A 22,212-nucleotide genomic window follows, 5' to 3' on the forward strand; every position below is an offset into this window, starting at 1 on the left:
ATGCTTCTTTTAAATAACACATGAAAATGGATTCATTTTGCCTTATTCAACAATAAGGCAATAAGTTTCTGTTGATATTGTCTCTGTCAATAATCTCAAATATTAAAGTCTTGCTTTTACAGTCTACTCTCTAAGGAATCCTCTAGAAAGGAGAGAGTAAGACTTTCCCTGTATTCTTGTGTCTACTGTGCTACGGCGATGAAAGTTCCCACCATATAGAAGTGGTGCAGAAACCACCTCAGGAGAGCAGGTGTGGTGCAAGGTGCTCCTGACCTCACTGAAACCTGCCCATGACAATGGGCCCAGGTCCCCATGACCCAGGTGCTTGGGGCATACAAGAGACACCTGTCTTCCCGGACGGAGTGTATAATTCTGTTGGGGATGGGGAGATGCACTTATCCACAACATTTATGTGAAAACCCACATTTGTGTCTATACACCACAGGCTTTCTACCTCATCTGCACAGAAGCTTTGCCAAAACACAACTCCAAAATCCTTGAATGGCTTCTTGTCTTTTGAAAAAGAATAACTATGGTTGTATACGGTAAAACACCGACTATATAAAATTTACTTTTAATGATTTCTCAGGGTACAATTCTGTGGCATTCAGTACATTCACACTGTTGTACAGCCATCACCACCATCCATGTCCAGAACTTGTTCATCTCCTGAAGGTGAAACTCTGTCCCCATTAATCGCTAAAACCTCCATCCCCTCCCCCAGCCCCTGGCAATCACAATTCTCCTTTCTGTCTCTATGGATTTGACAACTCTAGGGACATCATACTGAGACAGGAGAATAAGGTCTGGAGGCAGATTCACACTGACTTCCCAGAACTCAATCAAAAGGAAAACTTCAAGTTTCTATGCCCAAGTAACAAAAGGACCAGATCCTATTCCCTTTGCAAGCCTCTCCTACCTTCTCTGTGTGGCAGATGGAAAATTGAAAGTAATTCTCACTGGTTGCTTTCTGCAACCATGTCCACTGCTGGCGCCAGAAGGCTGTGAGGCGTTGCTAGGACTAGAGGCAAGCTGGCAGTGCTCTGTATCCTGGCTGTTCACCTGCCAAGCACTGCCCTCACTGTTTGCTCATCCTGACTGCAGTGTGCAGAGTGTGTTGGCACCTAACACCCCTCAAAGCCTGTCTGTGCAGCTCCACACTGTGGTCCTATGCTGTGGGCACACCCCTCCCAGAGGGGAAGTGACTTGATTAAACCGAACGTGGTCATTTATCTACTCATTTCCTCTCCTTTGAGTTGAGAGGTCCTTGAGGTAAGGATTTCTCTTATTCATTATCCTATACTCCTAAAGACTTAGAAATCAGCAGCAGAACCACCACACATTTAAAAAATAGAAACTGGGCCAGGTGTTGTGGCTCATTTCTGTAACCATAGCACTTTGGGAGGCTGCAGCAGGAGGATCACTTGAACCCAGGAGTTTGAAATCAGCCTAGGGCCATGTCTCTACAGAAAAGAAAAAAAAAAAAAAGCTGGGCATGGTGGGCATACACTTGTAGTGTCAGCTACTCAGCAGGGTGAGGTGGGGGAATAACTTGAGCCCGGGAGGTCAAGGCTGCAGTAAGCCATGACTGACCACTACACTCCAGCCTTGGCAAGAGGGTAAGATCCTATGTCAAACAAACAAAGCAAAAAACAGAAATTGTAATTATTTGAGAAACATCTCCACCTGCGCAGTGAGGTAATATCTAGGATGATCAGAAGCAAAGATCTGTATCTTATTTTCCTTAGTCTAGGATGTTTTCATTACAATTTGCTAAATAACAAGGCAATTAGCTGCCTATGAAAGCCACCATAGTCAGAAAAGAGGAATAATGTCCATATACATCATCGAATAATGTGATATTTTAAAGGAAAAAGGGAGTAAGAATTTTAAAGACTCGTCATTTACATTTGACTGGCAAATGGGCTTCTTCCTCCCTACAATCACAAATTTTCCTGAACATGGGGCTAATTAGATTTGTTAAAAGCAACAGGAGTACAGCATAAGTTGAATGTGTTACCATAACTGTCTGCATACAATTTCCCTTTTCACTTGTTGTATGTGTCCGTTAATTATGCTATTATCCAAGAAGTACAATCTGCCTAAGTAAAAATCCCTGAGGTCCAGCTTTGCCAGCAGGGCCCCTCCAGTGCCTGAGAATCAGCTGAGTCTCCCAAATTGAAACCACTACCAGAAACGGAGAGGGGCAAGGCAGACTCCCCAAGAACTGGGGACTTATCCACATGACTTATACAGGCCTTAAAGGGCTCAGCCTTGTGGCCTGTGTCAGAACACATCTTCTCCCCTTTGTACTCTGATGTTGTCTACCTCAACAGAAGGTCACCGCCACATCATCTGGGGCAATAGAGCACCGTAGCTAAGAGCTATGGACTCTTCATTCCCCAACTGGGTTTGAGGCCAGCCTCCATAATCAGAGGCTGCAAGCTTTTGGGCAAGAAACTTGACCCCTGCAGCCCTCTCTGCCATTCTCTGTGCTAAGACTGGCTGCTTCTTAGAGGTGGCAGGAGGCTGACACATACCCCCATGAGTGAAAGCACTGAAAACATGACATGCAGCGAGTCCTCAATGCTTGTGAACCAACACGACCATAGTGGACACCAACAAGGACAAGGGGCATGAATACTCTTTGGGTGTATGTTTCCTGAACATGGCACAGAGAATGTGTTCTGGGGTTCCTAGGCACTGTCCATCTAATGAGACTCGAAGCCCCAACACCCTGGGTAGATCTAACTGGCATAGCCCCAGCACCAGGTGATAAATCTGGATGAGGGGAGGCCAGGAATGACAGGCAGGTGGAGACATAGTTTGTGACATGTACACAAATGGGTCCCTCTCCTGTGAGGCTCCTGCCACCTAGGTGTTATACTGCCCCTCAACACTGAGGCCCGCTGACCAGACTTAGAAAGTAATGGATTATCAAAGCAGCCTATAAACCAAGGGCTATAATTCTTCTGCTGGCTTCCTTCCTGGCCTGGTAGCTGACGTTGGTGCTTTCTGGTTCCTAAAGGTAACAGCTGGCCCTGAAGCCACTGGCACAGGAGACGGAACAAGAGATGTGACTGTGTCAGTGTGGACATATGAAAATCTACAGGACTGTAAATGTGTGGACAGCACAATACCTCCATCACTAAGGAGGACAAACCAAAGCAGAACAGCTTGCTTGCTGAGGTCCTCTGGAAGCTATCCTTGACACAAGAATCATGTTAGCACTGCACAGACTAATGCAACTTGTAAGTGCTACCAGGCAGGAAGTGCTCTGAGTGCCTTCCCATCCCAAGGGATGTCCAGCATTTCAGGGATCCACAGTGACAATTCACTTAAGAGCCTAGGAAAAAGATGTCATCACTTTTGTTAGACCTACTTCCAAAAAAAAAAAAATTGACTAAAAATTTAATTAAAGCATTTGGGATTTCTGTCCCATTAATCTATAGGTACTTGCTTTGGATGTTGGTGAATTAGTCAGCGGCCTCATTCCATAAAGGTGCATGTAGGTGAGTGTAGTTTAGCATATCTCTGTGTACATGTGGGTCTACACACAAATACAGTGGCATCATAAGAAAAGGGCTAAAACGATGTACCCTAAATAGTTAAACACTGAGTAATGGTTACCTCCAGGGAGTGGGAGTTAGAAGGCTTCCAATTTTAATGCTATGCATTTTTGTATTGTGTGAAGCAAGTGTAATTTGTGTAATTAAAAAAAAAAAAAGCCCAGTGTGGTGGCTCATGTCTGTAATCCCAGCACTTTGGGAGGCTGAGGAAGGAGGATTGCTTGAGGTAGGAGTTTTGAGACCAGACTGGCAATATATCAAGACTCTGTCTCTACAAAAGAGAAAAAAAGAAAAAAATCTTAGCTGGGTGTGGTGGCATATACTTGCAGTTCTAGCCATGCCAGAGGCTGAGGTGAAAAGATTGCTTCAGCCCAGCAGTTAGAGGCTGCAGTGAACTATGATAGCACCACTGTACTGCAGTCTGGGAAACAGAATGAGACTCTATCTCCAGTGGGGAAAAAAAAAAAAGCATATCATGATTGTGTTTTTTTCTTTTTTTTATCCTGAAGGGATATTCTCCCTACTTAAGATCATCCTTTCATTCCTCTAGTGACAAATTTCAAGAAATGAAAAATTATGTGTTTCATGAGACACATTGGAAAGGAAAATCTCCTTTACTGAATCCACCAATTCAAATGCTAATCTCCTCCAGAAAAACCCTCACACACACACTCCAAAGAATATACCATCTGGACACCTCATGGCCCAGTCAAGGGGGGTGCATGTCTTTTACCATCACCCTGGCCTTCCTCTGGCCCATCTCTTCTAGGCTGCAGGCATTGTGTGCCACAAACCCAGAGGATTCTCCCCAAGTGCAGGTTGCATTCTGACATGCCTCCTTTTAAAAATCCCAATAGTTGTCCCTATCCAGAAAGCAAACATATGAGCTGGGGAATAAGAAGGTTAACTCATAAAGCCATAATTCCTCTCTGAAGCTTGTGAGCCATGAGAAGCTTGGCTTCATGCTGTATAGAAGCAAACTCACTGGCAGACTGGAATCCCCCACATGTGCTGTTTTCCTTTTGAAATGGCTTCTCCAATCTGTATCTCTTTTGTTGTGGACTCCCAGAAGGTCACCCCCTACCCCAGGAGCAGCCACTACTCCAAGAATATCTTGCTTTACTTAATTCTATATCCCTTTGGCAACTCTTTCCTGAATTTCTCATTTTGTTTGTAACAATATCCTCCCATGGGTTTTCACTTGGACACGGTAGATACGCCTAACCTCTCTCCCCAAATGGATGACACACTCCATTAGGAAAGAGATCTTTCTCCTGTGTGCCCCCAAGCACTTACTCAGCAATACATGCACAAGAATTCAGAGGAAAGAGAGGCAAGTTCTTAGCCGACTTCCAGAGGATGAGTGCCTTCCTGCCAGATGTTCCTAATGGAAAGGGTGGGGGTGTATCTGTAAACAGTCAGGAAGACAATGATGTAAGAAAATAAACCAAGAACAAAATTAAAAAGAAAAAAGGCAAAAAAGCAGCCAGGAAGCTTGAACTGAGGGGAGCCCGCCACAGCTGCACAAGGCTTACTGCCTCTCTAGGTTCCAACTCTGTGGGCAGGGTATAGCTGAACAAAAGGCAGACAGCCTCTGCAGACTTAAACGACCCTGTCTGACAGCTCTCAAGAGAGCAGTGGTTGTCCTAGCATGGCATTCAAGCTCTGAGAATGAACAGACTGCCTCCTCAAATGGGTCCCTGACCCGAGTGTAGCCTGACTGGAAGACACCTCCCACTTGGGGCCAACAGACACCTCATATAGGTGGGTGCCCCTCTGGGATGAAGCTTCCAGAGGAAGGATCAGGCAGCAATATTTGCTGTTCTGCAGCCTCTGCTGGTGATATCCAGGCAAACAGCGTCGGAGTTGACCTCCAGCAAACTCCAACAGAACTGTAGCTGAGGGGCCTGACTGTTAGAAGGAAAACTAACAAACAGAAAGGAATAGCATCAACAACAACAAAAAGGACATCAACACTAAAACTGCATCTCTAGGTCACCAAAATCAAAGACCAAAGGTAGATACAATGACAAACATTGGAGAAACCAGAGTAGAAAAGCAGAAAATTCCAAAAACCAGAGCACCTCTTCTCCAAAGGATCTCAGCTCCTCACCTATAAGGAAACAAAACTGGATGGAGAATTAGTTTGACAAGTTAACAGAAGTAGGCTTCAGAAGGTTGGTAATAACAAATTTCTCCGAGCTAAAGGAGCATGTTCTAACCCATTGCAAGGAAGCTAAACACCTTGAAAAAAGGTTAGACAAATGGCTAACTGGAATAAACATGTAGAGAAGACTAGAAATGACCTGATGGAGCTGAAAACCAAGGCACAAGAACTTTGTGACACATAAACTAGCTTCAATAGCCAATGCAATCCAGTAGAAGAAAGGATAGCAGTGGGTGAAGCAAATTAATGAAATAAAGTGAGAAGACAAGATTAGAGAAAAAAGAGTGAAAAACAATGAACAAAGCCTCCAAGAAATATGGGACAATGTGAAAAGACCAAATTTACATTTTTGATTGGTGTACCTGAAAGTAACGGGGAGAGTGGAACCAGTTTTGACAGCACTCATCAGGATATTATCCAGGAAAACTTCCCCATCCTAGCAAGGCAGGCCAACATTAAATTCAGGAAATGCATAGAACACCACAAAGATTCTTCTAGAGAAGAGCAAACCCAAGACATATAATTGTCGGATTCACCAAGGTTGAAATGAAGAAAAAATATGTTAAGAGCAGCCAGAGAGAAAGGTCAGGTTACACACAAAGGGAAGCCCATGAGACTACAGTGGATCTAACAGCAGAAACCCTACAAGCCAGAAGACAGTGGGGGCCAATATTCAACATTTTAAAGAAAAGAATTTTCAACCCAGGATTCCATAGCCAGCCAAACTAAGCTTCATTAGTGATGGAGAAATAAAATCCTTTACAGACAAGCAAATGCTGAGAGATTTTCTCACCATCAGGCCTCCTTCACAAGAGCTGCTGAAGAAAGCCCTAAACATAGAAAGGAGCACTGGTACCAGGCACTGCAAAAACATGCCAAAGTGTAAAGACCATCAATGCTATGAAGAAACTTCATCAATTAACGGCAAAATAACCAGCTAACATCATAATGACAGGATCAAATTCACACATAACAATATTAACCTTAAATTAAACAGGCTAAATATCCCAATTAAAAGGCACAGACTGGCAAATAGGATAGAGTCAAGACCCATCACTGTACTGTATTTAGGAGACTCAAGTCACATGCAGAGAAACACATAGGATTCAAATAAAGGAATGGAGGGAGATCTACCAAGCAAATGGAAAGAAAAAAAAAAAGCAGGGGTTGCAGTCTTCATCTCTGATAAAACAGACTTTAAACCAACAAAGATCAGTAGAGACAAAGAAGGGCATTAAATAATGGTAAAGGGATCAATTCAACATAAAGAGCTAACTATCCTAAATATATATGCACCCAATACAGGAGCACAGAGATTCATAAAGCAAGTCCTTAGAGACCTACAAAGAGTCCCATACAATGATGGTGGGAGACTTTAACACCCCACTGTCAATATTAGACAGATCAACAAGACAGAAGATTAACAAGGATTACCAGAACTTGAACTCAGCTTTGCATGAAGCAGACCTAATAGACATCTACAGAACTCTCCACCCCAAATCAAAACAATGTACATTCTTGTCAGCACCACATCACATTTATTCTAAAATTAAGCACATAATTGGAAGTAAAACACTCCTCAGCAAATGTAAAAGAACAGAAATGGCAAGAAACCGTCTCTCAGGCCACAGTACAATCAAATTAGAACTGAGGATTTAAAAACTCACTGAAAATTGCACAACTGCAGGGAAACTGAACAACCTGCTCCTGAATGACTACTGGTTAATAACAAAATGAAGGCAGAAATAAAGATGTTCTTTGAAACCAATGAGAAAAAAGACACAAAATACCAGTATCTCTGGCACACATTTAAACCAGTGTGTAGAGAAAAATTTGTCAAGCAGAAAAAAACTCTTTAAACAATTAATGAATCCAGGAGCCAGTTTTTTGGAAAGATCAACAAAATTGATAGACCACTAGCAAAACTAATAAAGAAGAAAAGAGAGAAGAATCAAATAGAGGCAATAAAAAAATGATAAAGGGGATATCACCACCCATCACACAGAAATACAAACTACCATCAGAGAATGCTGTAAACTCATCTATGCAAATCAACTAGAAAATCTAGAAGAAATGGATAAATTCCTGGATACATACACCCTCCCAAGACTAAACCAGGGAGAAGCTGAATCTCTGACAAGACCAATAACACATTCTGAAATTGAGGCAACAATTAATGGCCAACCAACCAAGAAAAGACCAGGACCAGAACAGATTCACAGCTGAATTCTACCAGAGGTACAAAGAGGAACTGGTACCCGTCCTTCTGAAACTATTCCAACCAAAGCCTGGCAGAGACACAACAAAAAAAGTGAATTTTAGACTAATAACACTGATGAACACTGATGCACAAATCCTCAATAAAACACTGGCAAACCAAATCCAGCAGCACCTCAAAAAGCTTATCTACCACAATCAATTTGGCTTCATCCCTGGGATGCAAGGCTGGTTCAACATACAAAAATAAAATAAATGTAATCCATCATGTAAACAGAACCAACAAGAAAAATCCCATGATTATCTCAATAGATGCAGAAAAAGCCTTTGACAAAATTCAACAGCACTTCAAGCTAAAGAGGACTTCAAGCACTTCAAGCACGTCAAGCTAAAGAGCACTTCAAGCTAAACATCAATAAACTAGGTAGTGATGGAATGTATTTCAAAATAATAGCTATTATGACAAACTCACTGCCAATATCATACTAAATGGGCAAAAACTCAAAGCATTCCCTTTGAAAACTGGCACAAGACAAGGATGTCCTCTCTCACCACTCCTATTCAACAGAGTGCTGGAAGTTCTGGCCAGAGTAATCAGGCAACAGAAAGAAAATAAAGGGTATTCAATTAGGAAAAGAAGAAGTCAAATTGTGTCTGTTTGCGGATGACATGATTGTATATTTGGAAAACCCCATTGTCTCAGCCCAAAATCTCCTTAAGCTGACAAGTAACTTCAGCAAAATCTCAGGATACAAATCATGGGTGAACTCCCTTTCACAATTACGACAAAAAGAATAAAATACCTAGGAATCCAACTTACAAGGGATGTGAAGGACATCTTCAAGGAGAACTACAAGCCACTGCTCAATGAAATAAAAGATGACAAAAACAAATAGAAGAACGTTCCATGCTCATGGATAGGGAGAATCAATATCATGAAAATGGCCAAACTGCCTAAGATAATTTACAGATTCAATACTATCCCCATCAAGCTACCACTGATTTTCTTCACAGAATTGGAAAAAACTACTTAAAGTTCATATGAAACCATAAAAGAGCCCAGATAGCCAAGACTAATCTAAGTAAAAAGAAGGAAGCTGGAGGCATCACGCTACCTGACTTCAAACTATGCTAGGAGGATCCAGTAACCAAAACAGAATGGTTGGTGCCAAAACAGATATAGAGACCAACGGAACAGAACAGAGGCCTCAGAAATAACACCACACATCTACAACCATCTGATCTTTGAGAAACTGACAAAAACAAGAAATGGGGAAAGGATTCCCTATTTAATAAATAGTGCTTGGAATACTGTCTAGCCATATGTAGAAAGCTGAAACTGGATCCCTTCCTTACACCATATACAAAAATTAACTCGAGATGGATTAAAGACTTAAAACCATAAAAACCCAGAAGATCTAGGCAATACCATTCAGGACATAAGCATGGGCAAAGACTTCATGACTAAAATGCCAAAAGCAATGGCAACAAAACCAAAATAGACAAAAGAGATCTAATTAAACTAAAGAGCTTCTGAACAGCAAAATAAACTATCATCAGAGTGAACAGGCAATGTACAGAATGCGAGAAAATTTTTTCAATCTACCCATCTGACAAAGGGTTAATATCTAAAATCTACAAGGAGCTTAAACAAATATACGAGAAAAAAACAAACAACCCCCTCAAAAAATGGGCAAAGGATATGAACAGACATTTCTGAAAGATATTTACGGAGCCAACAGACATATGAAAAAATGTTCATCATCACTGGTCATCACTGAAATGCAAATCAAAACCACAATGAGATACCATCTCACACCAGTTAGAATGGTCATCATTAAAAAGTCAGGAAACAACAAATGCTGGAGAGGATGTGGAGAAATAAGAACACTTTTACCTTGATGGTGGGAGTGTAAATTAGTTCAACTATTGTGGAAGACAGTGTGGCAATTCCTCAGGGATCTAGAACTAGAAATACCATTTAACCCAGTTATCCCATTACTGGGTATGTACCCAAAGGATTATGAATCTTTCTACTATAAAGACATATGCACACGTATGTTTATTGTGGCACTATTCATGACAGCAAAGACTTGGAATCAACCCAAATGTCCATCAATGACATACCCAATTAAGAAAATGTGGCACATACATTCATATCCTTTGCAGGGTCATGGATGAAGCTGGAAACCATCATTCTCAGCACACTAACACAGGAACAGAAAACCAAACACCCCATGTTCTCACTCATAAGTGGGAGTTGAACAAGGAGAAAACATAGACACAGGGTGGGGAATATCACAGACTGGGGCCTGTTGGAGGATGGGAGGATGGGGGAGAGATAGCATTAGGATAAATATCTAGTGTAAATGACAAGTTGATGGGTGCAGCAAACCAAAATGGTACATGTATACCTATGTAACAAACCTGCACATTCCTCCCATCTACCCTAGAACTTAATTTATAATAAAAAATAAAAAGAAAAAGAGAAAAAGTAGAATGATGGAAACCATAATTATCTAAGTAAGCTAGAGGAGGAAGGCTTACTTACAAGAGGAAGACACGGTTTTGATAGAAAAAGGACCAGAGCCCATGTCATGTGCATCATGTCCATGTCATGACTGGTGTGTGCTTTTCAACAAAGCTGAGCAGGGATGGAGAATGACCTTACTGACTCCTCAAGGTGGGATTCAGAGTGAGGACTGGATCCTCCTGGGTTCAGAAATGACACAAGTGCCTTCTAGGAGCCACTCACTGGACCAGGTGTGACCACACACAATCCAAGTTTGTCTTACAGCAAAGCCTCAGGTCATAGTATGCTTGTGCAACTGTAACAGAATATCTGGGACTGGAAAATTTGTAAAGAATCGAAATGTATTTCTCACACCTCTGGAGGCTGGGAAGTCCAATATCAAGGCAACTGTAGGTCTGTCTCTGCAGAGGGCTGCTCCCTGTTTCAAGATGGTACCTTGCAGCTGCAAGGAATTCATCTATCCCAAGAAATTCATTACTGAAAGGATTTGTTCAAGATACAATGGAGGAAATCATCACAGGCTATATTTTGAATAAGATTTTCTGTTATCCCAAGAGAAGAGTTTTTTTTAAGTAATGCGACTTACATTTCCAGTTGTAATATTGTTCTGTTTTAAAATACCTAGAACTCACAAGAAATGCACCACATGCATTTTTTACTCTAAGGTTTGCACAATTTAAAAGACTTTATTTTCTTAAAATAATTTCAGTCTTGGCTGACTGACAGTTTACAATGACCCATGAAGCCATGTAGGAAATGCCTACAGAATAAACTGCTCAAAATGATTTCCCACTAAGGACATCATAGGCCTGCCCACCTTTTTATAGAGAGGGGCTTCCAGAAACCTGATTAGGCAGCAAATAGGCAGCTGATATGCGAGTGCTTCAGGGCTGTTCTGCCTCGTCTTTCAAGTCCATTAGGTCCACCTTGTCTTCTTAGCAGCTAGACTGACCAAGGCAAAAAGCCCTACTGTACCTTGATCAGGCAGACTTGCCACTGCTTCATAATCAGAGCAAAGACATACTTCTATACCATGATCAAGGCAAGGACATACCTCTGCACCATAATCAGGGTGTTGATTCCCTAGTCACTGGCCCAGGCAAACATGTCCCTGCAGCATAATCTTGCTGATGCCCTGGTGATTGGCCAAGAAAGACATACCCCACAGAATAATAAGGCTGATTCCCTTGTGTTTGACCAAGGGAGACACACCCTGACAGCATAATCAGGCTGATTTTCTGGTGATGGCCAAGGCAGACACCCCCACAGCAGGATTAGTCTGATTCCCTGGTGACTGGCCCAGGAAGACACCCCCCAGAGCCTAATCACAGCAATCAGTCCTTGAAGCATGATCAGGCGCTGTTTCTCCTGGTAATGTACCATTCACTCTTGCCATTTAACTTGCTAAATACCTGCTTGGCCTCAGCTGTCACTTTGAAAGCAGATGAAAAATAATGATGTTGAATTAAGCCCTCCCTACAGGCAGCTTTCTTTTCTAATGAGGTCAAGATGACTTCCACAAACCAACATATCCTACCACAAAATTCTTTCAGAAGGAAAAGAAATGAAATTAAAGGTTATATTATGATCTACAGCTTAAGAACAGGAACAAAGTAGTACTTAAGCAAAATGAACACCTAGAAGAAGGAAGATGATAGCAGCAAATTTTGCTGAATGTAGTCACCAGAGCAATGACACTACAATGTCACCTTCCCAGGGGAATTCAGGCTTGGTGCAGATAAAAAACGAGGTGGGAGGAGTGGAAAATGAATGGAAACTAGGCCTCCCAGAATGTTCTTTTAGGATGGAAGTTCTATTTTATTTTTATTTTTGTGACTGGTGTAATATTGAGCAGAAACCCTAAGGAAGAACACATTTCTGGATCAAAATTAGGCACAGCCTATCTTTCTGCTGTACACATCACATCCAACATTGCCCTCCTCTAGTTTGCTTTCCCTTCAGGTTAAGTATTATTTCTAATCATTTTGTCTTATCCTGCCTAATTCATTTCAGAATATCAAAGCGGCACATCATCTGACCGCTGTTGCTGGCACATCATGTGAGCTAGCATCCCAGCATGATTTTAAATTTCTTTCCAGTATTACCTTGTGCATTTCTTTATACTCTTCAATTCTTCTGCATGTTCTGCTCTGTCAAAGCACAGCTAATTGTGTACATGGCACTCAGATATGATCATTTTCAAAGACAGACTTTCAATATCGTTGATAAGTCCCTACTCACAACCATGCAGCTAGGAGAAATTAAAATAAGTATACCTGCATGCACACACACACACACATGCACACATACAAATTGTATGCCAAAAAAAAAAACCAAACAATTTGTCAAGTCAAAAAGAATTAAATAGTTTCTTTAACCCTGTCACCTGAAATAGGTCAAAAAGTAGTTAAAAAAATAAGAGAGCCATCTAGACAAGTTCTGTAGGACTGAACTAATTTTAAAAAAGTAGCTCCTGGCTAGTTGTTCATCTTTGATGAGTTTCTATGATTGGCACCTCACTTAATCTGATACCTGCTCACTTAGAAAGCCAAATGAAGACACTATGTTGATGAGATCATCAAGTAGATTCCATAAAACAAATTCACTACCACTCCACCCAAACTACCAGGCTAGCTAGATAAAACATCATTTTTTTAAGAATTGCAGTATAATATATTTCAAGTATATCTTCGCATGTAGAACAAAAAATATAGAAGACAAACCATATGAAAGGCTTGGGTAGATGAGCAAGAAATAAGACATATGCACACCTCATACATCATGAGTGCTTTGTATGTTAAGTCAGAAGAAATGCTGGGTCACAGAATAACTTTATGGACAAACCTTAGCTACAGTAACAAAGAAAAAAAAACACTCATATGACTAAAATCAGAAATGCTAGGGCCCACGTTATAACCAATGCCACAAAAATAAATGGAGTATACCATTTGTTGGCATATCCTTTGACAACAAATAGGATAACCTAAAAGAAATAAAAGAATTCCTACAAACAAACAACTTATCAAAACTGAATCATAAAGACAGAGAATCACTGAGGATTTTGAAAAGAGGGGAAAAATGAAGACACAGAAAATCTGAACAGACCTATAAGTAGTAAGGAGACTGAATCAATAATAAAAGAAAATATCCCCAGAAAGAAAAGCCCAGGACCAACTGGCATCACTGGAGAAGTCTACCAAACATGTAAAATACTGTATGAAAAACAAAATACAGATCAATATCCCTGATGAACACAGATTTAAAAATCTAAATAAAATATTAGCTAACATTCCACAACAAATTAAAAGGATCATATACATGAACAAGTGAAGTTTATTCCTGGAATGCAAATACGTTAAACATATGAAACCACATTTACAGAATAAGAAACCAAAACATAAAGAAAAAAAAACCCTTAATTGATGAGAAAGAAAAAGCATTTGAAAAACTCCAGCACTCTTTCATGATGAAAACACTCAAATTGATGAGGCAGGAAAATCACTTAAACCCAGGAAGTGCAGCTTGTCGTGAGCCAAGATTGCGCCACTGCACTCCAGACTGGGTGACAGAGCAAGACTCCATCTCAAAAAAAAAAAAAAGTTACCTCAACATATTGAAGGCCTTATATGAGAAGTTCACAGCTAATATAATTCTCAGCAAACACTGACGCTTTCTTTCTAAGTTCAGGAATAAGACAAGGACACCCATCTGAACCAGGCAATTAGGCAAGATAACACAATAAAAGGCATCCAAACTGGAAAGGAAGAAACAAAATTATATTTGCATACTTGCTCACAGATTACATGATCTTATATATAGAAAACACTAAAATTCAGCACATTAAAAAAAGAAAGGTGTTAGAACCAATAAACCAATTCAGCAAAGTTGTAGAATACAAATCAAACAAAAATCAGTTGCATTTTAATCTACTAGCAATGAATAACTTGAAGAGAAAATTAAAAACAATCCCATTTATAATAGTATACAAAGAACAAAATACCTAGAAATAAGAGAGGTGAAAGACCTGCTTACTGAAACTACAAAACACTACTGAAAGAAAGACAAATGAATTGAAAGATTATGCTCATGGGTGGGAAGGCTTAATATTGTTAAGATATTCATAGCATCCAAAGCAATCCTACAGATTCAATGCCATCACTATCAAAATCCCAATGGCATTTTGAGCAAAAATAGGAAAAACATCCTAAAATACATATGAAATTTCAAGGGATCCCAAATAGCCAGAACAATCTTGAAAAAGGACAAAATTGTGGGTCTCACATGTCAGGATTTCCAAATATATTACAAAGCAGCATTCATCAAAACAGTTCAGTACTGTCCTAAATACTAATAGAATAGAAGAGACAGCTCAGAAATAAATTGTCACACATTTGTCAACAAGCAGTCAAGACTATTCAATGGAGAAAAGATAAGTCTCTTCAACAAACAGTGCTTGGGAAAACTGGATATCTACATGCAAAAGAATGAAACTGCACTCTAATTAACACCATATTCAAAAAATAACTCAAGGTGGATTAAAGTATTGAATGTAAGACCTAAAACTAAAATGGCTAGAAGAAAATATAGGTTAAAGCTTCATGAAATTGGATTTGGCAATCGCTTCTTGGCTGTGACACCAAAAGCACAGGTAACAAAGGCAAAATTACACAAATAAGATGACGTGTCATATTCATCTAATCAAAAACTTATGCACACCAAAGATGACAACTAAGCAAAAAGTCAACCAGGAAGGGAGAAAATGATCATAAGTCATATGTCTGAAAAGTGCTTAATATCCAGAATACGTAGGAACTCCTACAACATAAGAACAAAAAAAAATTAAAAATAGGCAAAGGATGGGCACAGACATTTCTCCAAAGATAATGCAGAAATGGCCAAAAAGAAAATGAAGATTCTCACCATCCCCAACCATCAGATATGCAAATCAAAATCATAATAAGAGATTAACTCACACCCATTAGGATGAGTACTGTCAAAAAAATCTAGAAAATGACAAGTTTTGATGAGAATGTGTAAAAATTTGAACCCTTATAGATTGTTGGTGGGAATATGCAATGGTTTAACAACTATGGAAAACAATATGGTAATCATTCAAAAAATTAAAAATAAAATTGCCACCTCATCCAGCAATTCCACTTCTGGGTATATCCCAACAGAACAGAAAGCAGGAACTCAAAGAGATATTTGTGCACTCATATTTACATTAGCATTATTCACAAGAACAGCTAAGGAGTGGAAGCAAACCAAATGTCCCTCAACAGATGAACAAATAAACAAAATGTGGTCTAACATAGCATGAAATATTGTTCAGCCTTAAAAAGAAAGAAATTCTTATTGCGTGCTCTAACATGGATGAAACTTGAAGGCATTATGCTAAGTGAAATGAGCCAATCAAATATTTTTGAGATGAAGCCTTGCTCTGGTGCAATGGCACCAGCTGGGCTCACTACAACCTCCATCTCCCAGGTTTAAGGGATTCTCCTGCCTCAGCCTCCAGTGTAGCTGGGATTACAGGTGCCCATCACCATGCCCGGCTAATTTTTGCATTTTTAGTAGAGATGAGGTTTCACCATGTTGGCCAGGCTGGTCTGGAACTCCTGACCTCAGGTCAGCCACCTGCCTCAGCTTCCCAAAGTGTGGGATTACAGGCATGAGCGACCACCCCCAGCCAAAAGAAAAATACTATATAATTCTTATTTGAGGTACTTAGAGTAGTAAAAAACTTAGAAATACAAAGTAGAATGATGGTTGTCAGGAGCTGAGGGTAGGGGGAAATGGGGAGTTGTTCAATGAGCACAGAATTTCAGATTTGCAAGATGAAAAAGTTCTGGAAGTCCATTGTATAGCAATGTGAGCAGACCTAACACTACTGAACTGTACACTTAAAAATAGGTAAGATGGTAAATTTTAGTTTTTAGTTTTAAATTTTAAATTTTAGCATGTGTCTGTGTGTGTGTTTCCTACCACAATTAAATTTTTACATAGTAACTATATGGTTTGTGTTTCATCAAGACTTGATAGAGTAACTTCATGTGCAAATGGTGCAGAAAGACACTAGAGGCAGAGAATTGAGTATCATGGTTCTCATACCCATGCCTGAGATTCACAGACACTACCATTTGTAGCAGATGCAGACAGAGTGATTATAAAGGGTGTGTGTTTGCATGTGTGTGCACGCTTCCCAAGAATAGTCAATCCACGTTCGGATGTATGTATAAATATAAATAACATAAATTTCAAAGGTATATATGCTTTATATTAATACAATTTTAAATCAAAGATTACTCACATAACTGCAATTTTTTTTCTCCCCTGGCAACAGGAATTCTTAAGACAGAGTATTCATCCTGTTATCACAGAAGAATCTTCAAATAGTCTATTTTCTATCTGTAATCTAGACCATTCTTGAATAAGAGGCAATTGGAAAGCCCATTCTGATTGATGTCAGTTAACAAGCCTGAAGTGAACAATATTGTCTTTCCTTTCAGAATAAAACAGGATACAAATAAAGCAATGGCTGAAGGGGACACAAACACACAGGGTAAAAATGAATTGGGCTTTTTACTTTTTTTAAATTAAGTTTCTTTAGGGAGATTTAGCTGCTTATCAATTTGCTAAGTTTGAATAGTTGCTGAAATATTAATCCTATATCAGATTTTGAAAAGAAAAATGCTAAACCATCTATTAAGTTAAACTTTGAAGCCATTCTGTCATTAACATAACTTTATAGATACCAATATAAACAATGCTCAAATGTTTTTGGAACTCAGAAATAACTGAAACTAATGCATATTATTTTAATAAGACTTTAAAGAGAAAATTGAATCACAGCATCAGCCAAACTCTTTCAGGAGCACCAAGAAGAGGCTTAGTTTTGAGACTGAGGAAAAGAGGACAAACTATGTATGCCCTGCACTACTCTTTAAAGTTGAGTTACAAATCTGATTGCTAATATTCCCAAACCATCCTGCAAACAGCAAGGCAATCGCACCTGGTGTGAGCACAGCTGTGGGGAACACTTCCCCTTAACTTCCTTTGGTTTTCTTCCATCAGCTCCTCTTTGGACATCGGGAGCTGCAAGATGGGTATCTGTGCTGCCTCTAATGCAATCTTACCCATAACCAGGGACTTTATATCCCAGCTGTATTTCTCATCATAGTGATCACATATTTCTTCAAACACCACTGAGTACAGCCATTCAGTATCTGCAGAAAAATAAAGACACAAAGACAGAGATTTTTAGAGTGCATATAAGAGTAAGTTTGTATCAAGTCAGCAAAAACACACTGTGTAGGTAGCATCCTATGAACAGAGGTTTTCATGGTGACCTAAGTGAACAGGAGAAAGGTTTGCAGGTCATTCTCACTAAATTATACTGTGGGCATCCTCCTCTCAAGGCTGCTGGAATTATGTCTGGAGTTGTGATCTGCAAATGTGGAACTCAGGAGAGAAATGAAATCTGTATTATTGTGTTTTCTGTTCAAATGTACATATTTAATCTAAATATGTCCTTGGAATGGTCAATTCCATCTGATAGCACAAGGCATCATTACTTGGTGTTCCCAACAACATGGAAACCACCATCAACTGACAAAGTCCACTGTATGGCCCAGTAGTATTAAGGACATTTCCACTGCCCAGTGGAATGAGTCCCCACCATGTCTGGCCAGGATGCTGCTGTGAAGCTCCCAGGTGAGAGCAGAATATTTAGGATGGTGAAAGCTGACCTGAGAATTAACTCCCGGCTCGGCACTTACTTGAAGCACAGCCTCAGAAACACAGTAGAACTGCAGGTGACTCCTTCCCTCATGTTTACACAAGGTGGACAGGAATACTGCTAATAATAACACCAGTACCACTAATATAGGCTACATTACACTACATACAATATAATAACTAGTACTAGCTCACACCCATTTCTATTCATGTGTTTTTTCTGTATGTATATTTAATATATACATAGTATCAATTGCACTCATATTACCAATAAGAATACTACTGAGGATGCTACTACAGTGAAATAATCCTACTTTACAGAATTAATACTTCAGGGCACATAAGTAACATTCTAGTGCCAGCCTGCTAGGGCATACTTGTTACACACTAGCTGTCTTCCCCACTCTTACTGTCTCCAGTGTGGGCCTAGAAAGATTACTTTACTGAAGAACCAACTAACTGACCTGCTAGGAGGCATTATGCCAAAAAAATAAAATAAAAAGAAAAAGAAATACTTTAACACAGAGGAATGTCTACCAAGTGGAATTTCAAAACCAGGTAAGCTCCATGGAGCTGAGTGTTGCCTGGTGACAATCCCCCCAAGACCCCAGTGAAGGCAGAAGGCTGTCCTGAGGCTTGGGCAGAGCCCTTGTCTTCTAGTCTGTGGTGGCACAGAGGCAGTCCCTGAACCTGAGAGGCTGGGAATAGTCCTGTTTACACCTGATTTAAAAAGAAGACACACAGATGCATCTGACAAAAATCTGAATTCAAATTCAGTTAGAAGACTGGCCACCTGTCCTAGATTTAGCACGGAAACCTTCCCATGGGGTGTGGAGCAGCATTAGCAGGATGTAGTCTACCCTGAATCTGTACAGCTGTACCCAACAAGACCTGAAAAGAGCAGGTGATCTCAATGGCCTTTAACTGTCCCACAATGACAGAAACAAATATAATAATCATCCCTAAATACTACTTTTTTTTCCCCATAAGATAGTATCTGGGAGACATAGGACACACTGAGGGAAGTAATGTGTATGCACAGAGAAGGCTGTGTGTATCCAAGAGGCATATAAGTCTTCCTACTCCTGTGTATGTTCACATGCTTACATGCACATAGGCATGCATGCTTGTCTCTAATTGCTTCAACACATTTTGAAAGTTGGCAGGGTATGAATAGCTATTAAAAGAGTTATGGGCTAGGTGGGGTGGCTCATGTCTATAATCACAGTACTTTCATAGGCTGAGGCAGATGGATTGACTGAGCTCAGTAGCATAAGACCAGCCTGGGCAACATAGCAAAACCCTGTCTGTGTTAAAAATATAAAAAAACTAGCTGGACTGCTGGCACATGTTGGTAATCCCAGCTACTCAGGAGGCTGAGGCAGGAGAATCACTTGAACCTAGGAGGTTGCAGTGAGCTGAGATCATGCCATTGCACTTCAGCCTAGGTGACAGAGTGAGATTCTTTTAGAAGAAAAAAAAAAGTTATGGCAGGTTTTAATTCCAAAATATCTGCTACTCTCAGAAAAGCATGCAGAGGGCTGCCTGCCGGGCAGTGTGGGATTCACTGTGTCAGGCATGGAGGAGGCCGGGAAGGTCTCTTGTCAGCCCTCCCACAATGGTAGGGCTACCTGTGCTTTGTCTCCTGCATCTTTCTCACAGGAAGTGATGGTCATCTGTGTAGACACATGGCCTGGGCAGGCAACGATATCCACCACCTATTTACAAAATTCCTGAATGTACCAAGAGCAGAGTGCTGCTGTCTCAAGAAAGACATTTCTCATGTGGCCCTGTACCCTGTCACTTCAACAGCATCCAAACTGTATCTCTTGGCAGCTCCTGTAGTATTTTTCTAGGGCTCTTGCCACCTTGTACTCAGAGGTCTGGGCTTGTTGATTGCTCTGACTGTCACGGTGTGGACTTTGCCTCTGTGTGTGCTTCTCTCCTTGTCCCAGGGCTCACCGCACTTGCCTAGTGAACCAGCTCTTCCTCCTTGGGATGGGGCTGAGGCTGAGCCCAGTCTGCCCTGTGGACAGTGAGAGGCTGGTTGTTGTGGACAGGTCTCTTCCTTGGGCTTTTTGGTGTCCACTGCCCTGCACTCCCCATCCTCCTTCCTCCTCCTGAGCACTGACCCCTTCTGTGGCCCTCTTTCCTGGGCTCTTTGCCTCTTTATGGATACCCTGGCTTTGACTGCTACCAGCAACAAGAAGAGCCCTCCTCCATTCTTTCTCTGCTTTTCTTGGCAAATTCACCCATAGCTGCATGCCAGGTGCCACTTCATTGTCAGCCTGTAATATTTTTCTCCTTGCTTTTCTACCACAACTGTATTTTATTGTTTGTAGATATAGGAGCCATGACCTTTGGCTTAGGCTGGTCTCAAACTCGTGGGCTCAATTGATCCTCCAAAATAGGTCTCCCAGTGTTGGGATGAGGGCATGAGCCACCATGGCTGGCCTTGAGCTGTATTTTATTAAGATTACTGTAAAACACACCAAACCTCAGAATCTCCACCATTCTGGATATTGGAGATTGAGAAGGCCTGCTCCCTGAACTTTTCCTCACAATTTAGATAAAATCATCCTAAATTCATGGAATAATCAAGGATCTAAACAAGTAATTAAACTCCTCAGATCAAATGATGACTACAGCCATTGATGATGGCACACTTAAAGGGACAGCGTTGTGAAAGGAAAAATGCTGAAATAAAATAAAGGAGGATAAAACAATTGCACCAGCCATCAGATGTATATTCTTCCCTGCTTATTAACAAGCTTGCAGCTTTAACATTGCTTCAGTGTCCTTTTTGTCAGGAAAGGTCATATTGTTTTTAACATGCTAGGGCCACATACACTACTACCCTCCTTAGGTGAGTTAGAAAATATCCCTTGTGACTGTGACCACTCCCCTCCTCCCAGCTGCAATCTGTGTGGCATGTTGAGAGCAGCTTCTGCAGCAGCTGCAAGGGCAACATGGGGAGGAGAGGGAAGCTCTGAAGAAGCTGCAGGCTGCCCCAGGCTGGTGGATGTTTTCAGCCTTAGAGGCAGTCAGAGTTCCCAGGGGGTTCATGGGAGGCATTGTGGGTTAAATTAATTCAATTGTTATGGAAAGGCTGGGCCTGGAGGAAGCCTAGGCCAATGGCCTACAAGTTTCTAAGGCGAAGGTTGGGTAATTGCAACAAAACAACTAACATCTCTTATAATTGGAAATGTACTTTAAATGCTTGCTAAGTCTACCCTGAGGCACAGTGGTCAATGTTTTACCCAATAAAGATATAAGATCCTGCTCTCAGGAAGCTGTATCTGCTTACCATGCAAATGGGTACCTATCTTCAATTTTGTAACTCTGAGTTGAGTTATTTAAGGGGAAAACACTTTAAGCCAACTGTCATTAAAGCATATATCTGGTGATACAGTTTGGCTGTGTCCCCACATAAATCTCATCTCAAATTGTAATCCCCATGTGTGGAGGGAGGGAGGTGATTGGATCATTGGGGTGGTTTCCGCCATGCTGTTCTCATGATAGTGAGTTCTCACAATAACTTATGGTTTTATAAGTGTTTGCAAGTTCCCCCTTCCCCCTCTTTCTCCTGCTGCCTTGCAAAAAAAGTGGCTGCTTCCCATTCTGCCATGATTGTAAGTTTCCTGAGGCCTCCCCAGCCATGTGGAACTGTGACTCTATTAAACCTCCTTCCCCTATAGAGTACCCAGTCTCAGGGAAGTTGTTTATAGCAGTGTGAGAATGAACTAACATTAATACATATGGGAAGGCCTGATTTTCCTCCTACCCCTATGTTCATACAAGACTTAGGTCTTTGGTAACCCAGGAGACCAGCAGAAAACTCTCAGCTCAGCTGCACACCCTGGGACAAGTTTGTTAGCCTGTCTGACCTACAGTGTCTGTTGGAGAAATGTATTTAATAAATAGCTGCTGGTCTGGAGAGGGGGGTAGCCTTAAACCTGGTGGGGGCGGGGGGTGAGATGCTCTAGGTG

General features: G+C 40.8%; 1 long non-coding RNA gene and 1 pseudogene across 1 annotated transcript in view; both read right to left on the reverse strand.

Moving 5' to 3' along the window:
• LOC107987355 (uncharacterized) overlaps positions 1-1,005 on the reverse strand; it is a 118,030-nt gene extending 117,025 nt beyond the window's left edge. Inside the window, exon 1 of the long non-coding RNA XR_001756089.1 lies at positions 920-1,005. This is a non-coding gene — a long non-coding RNA (uncharacterized LOC107987355). The remainder of the gene's footprint in view (positions 1-919) is intronic.
• PUDPP1 (pseudouridine 5'-phosphatase pseudogene 1) lies at positions 9,374-11,328 on the reverse strand (annotated as a pseudogene).

The sequence above is a fragment of the Homo sapiens genome, chromosome Y (genome assembly GCF_000001405.40).
Source record: "Homo sapiens chromosome Y, GRCh38.p14 Primary Assembly".
Lineage (NCBI taxonomy): Eukaryota > Metazoa > Chordata > Mammalia > Primates > Hominidae > Homo > Homo sapiens.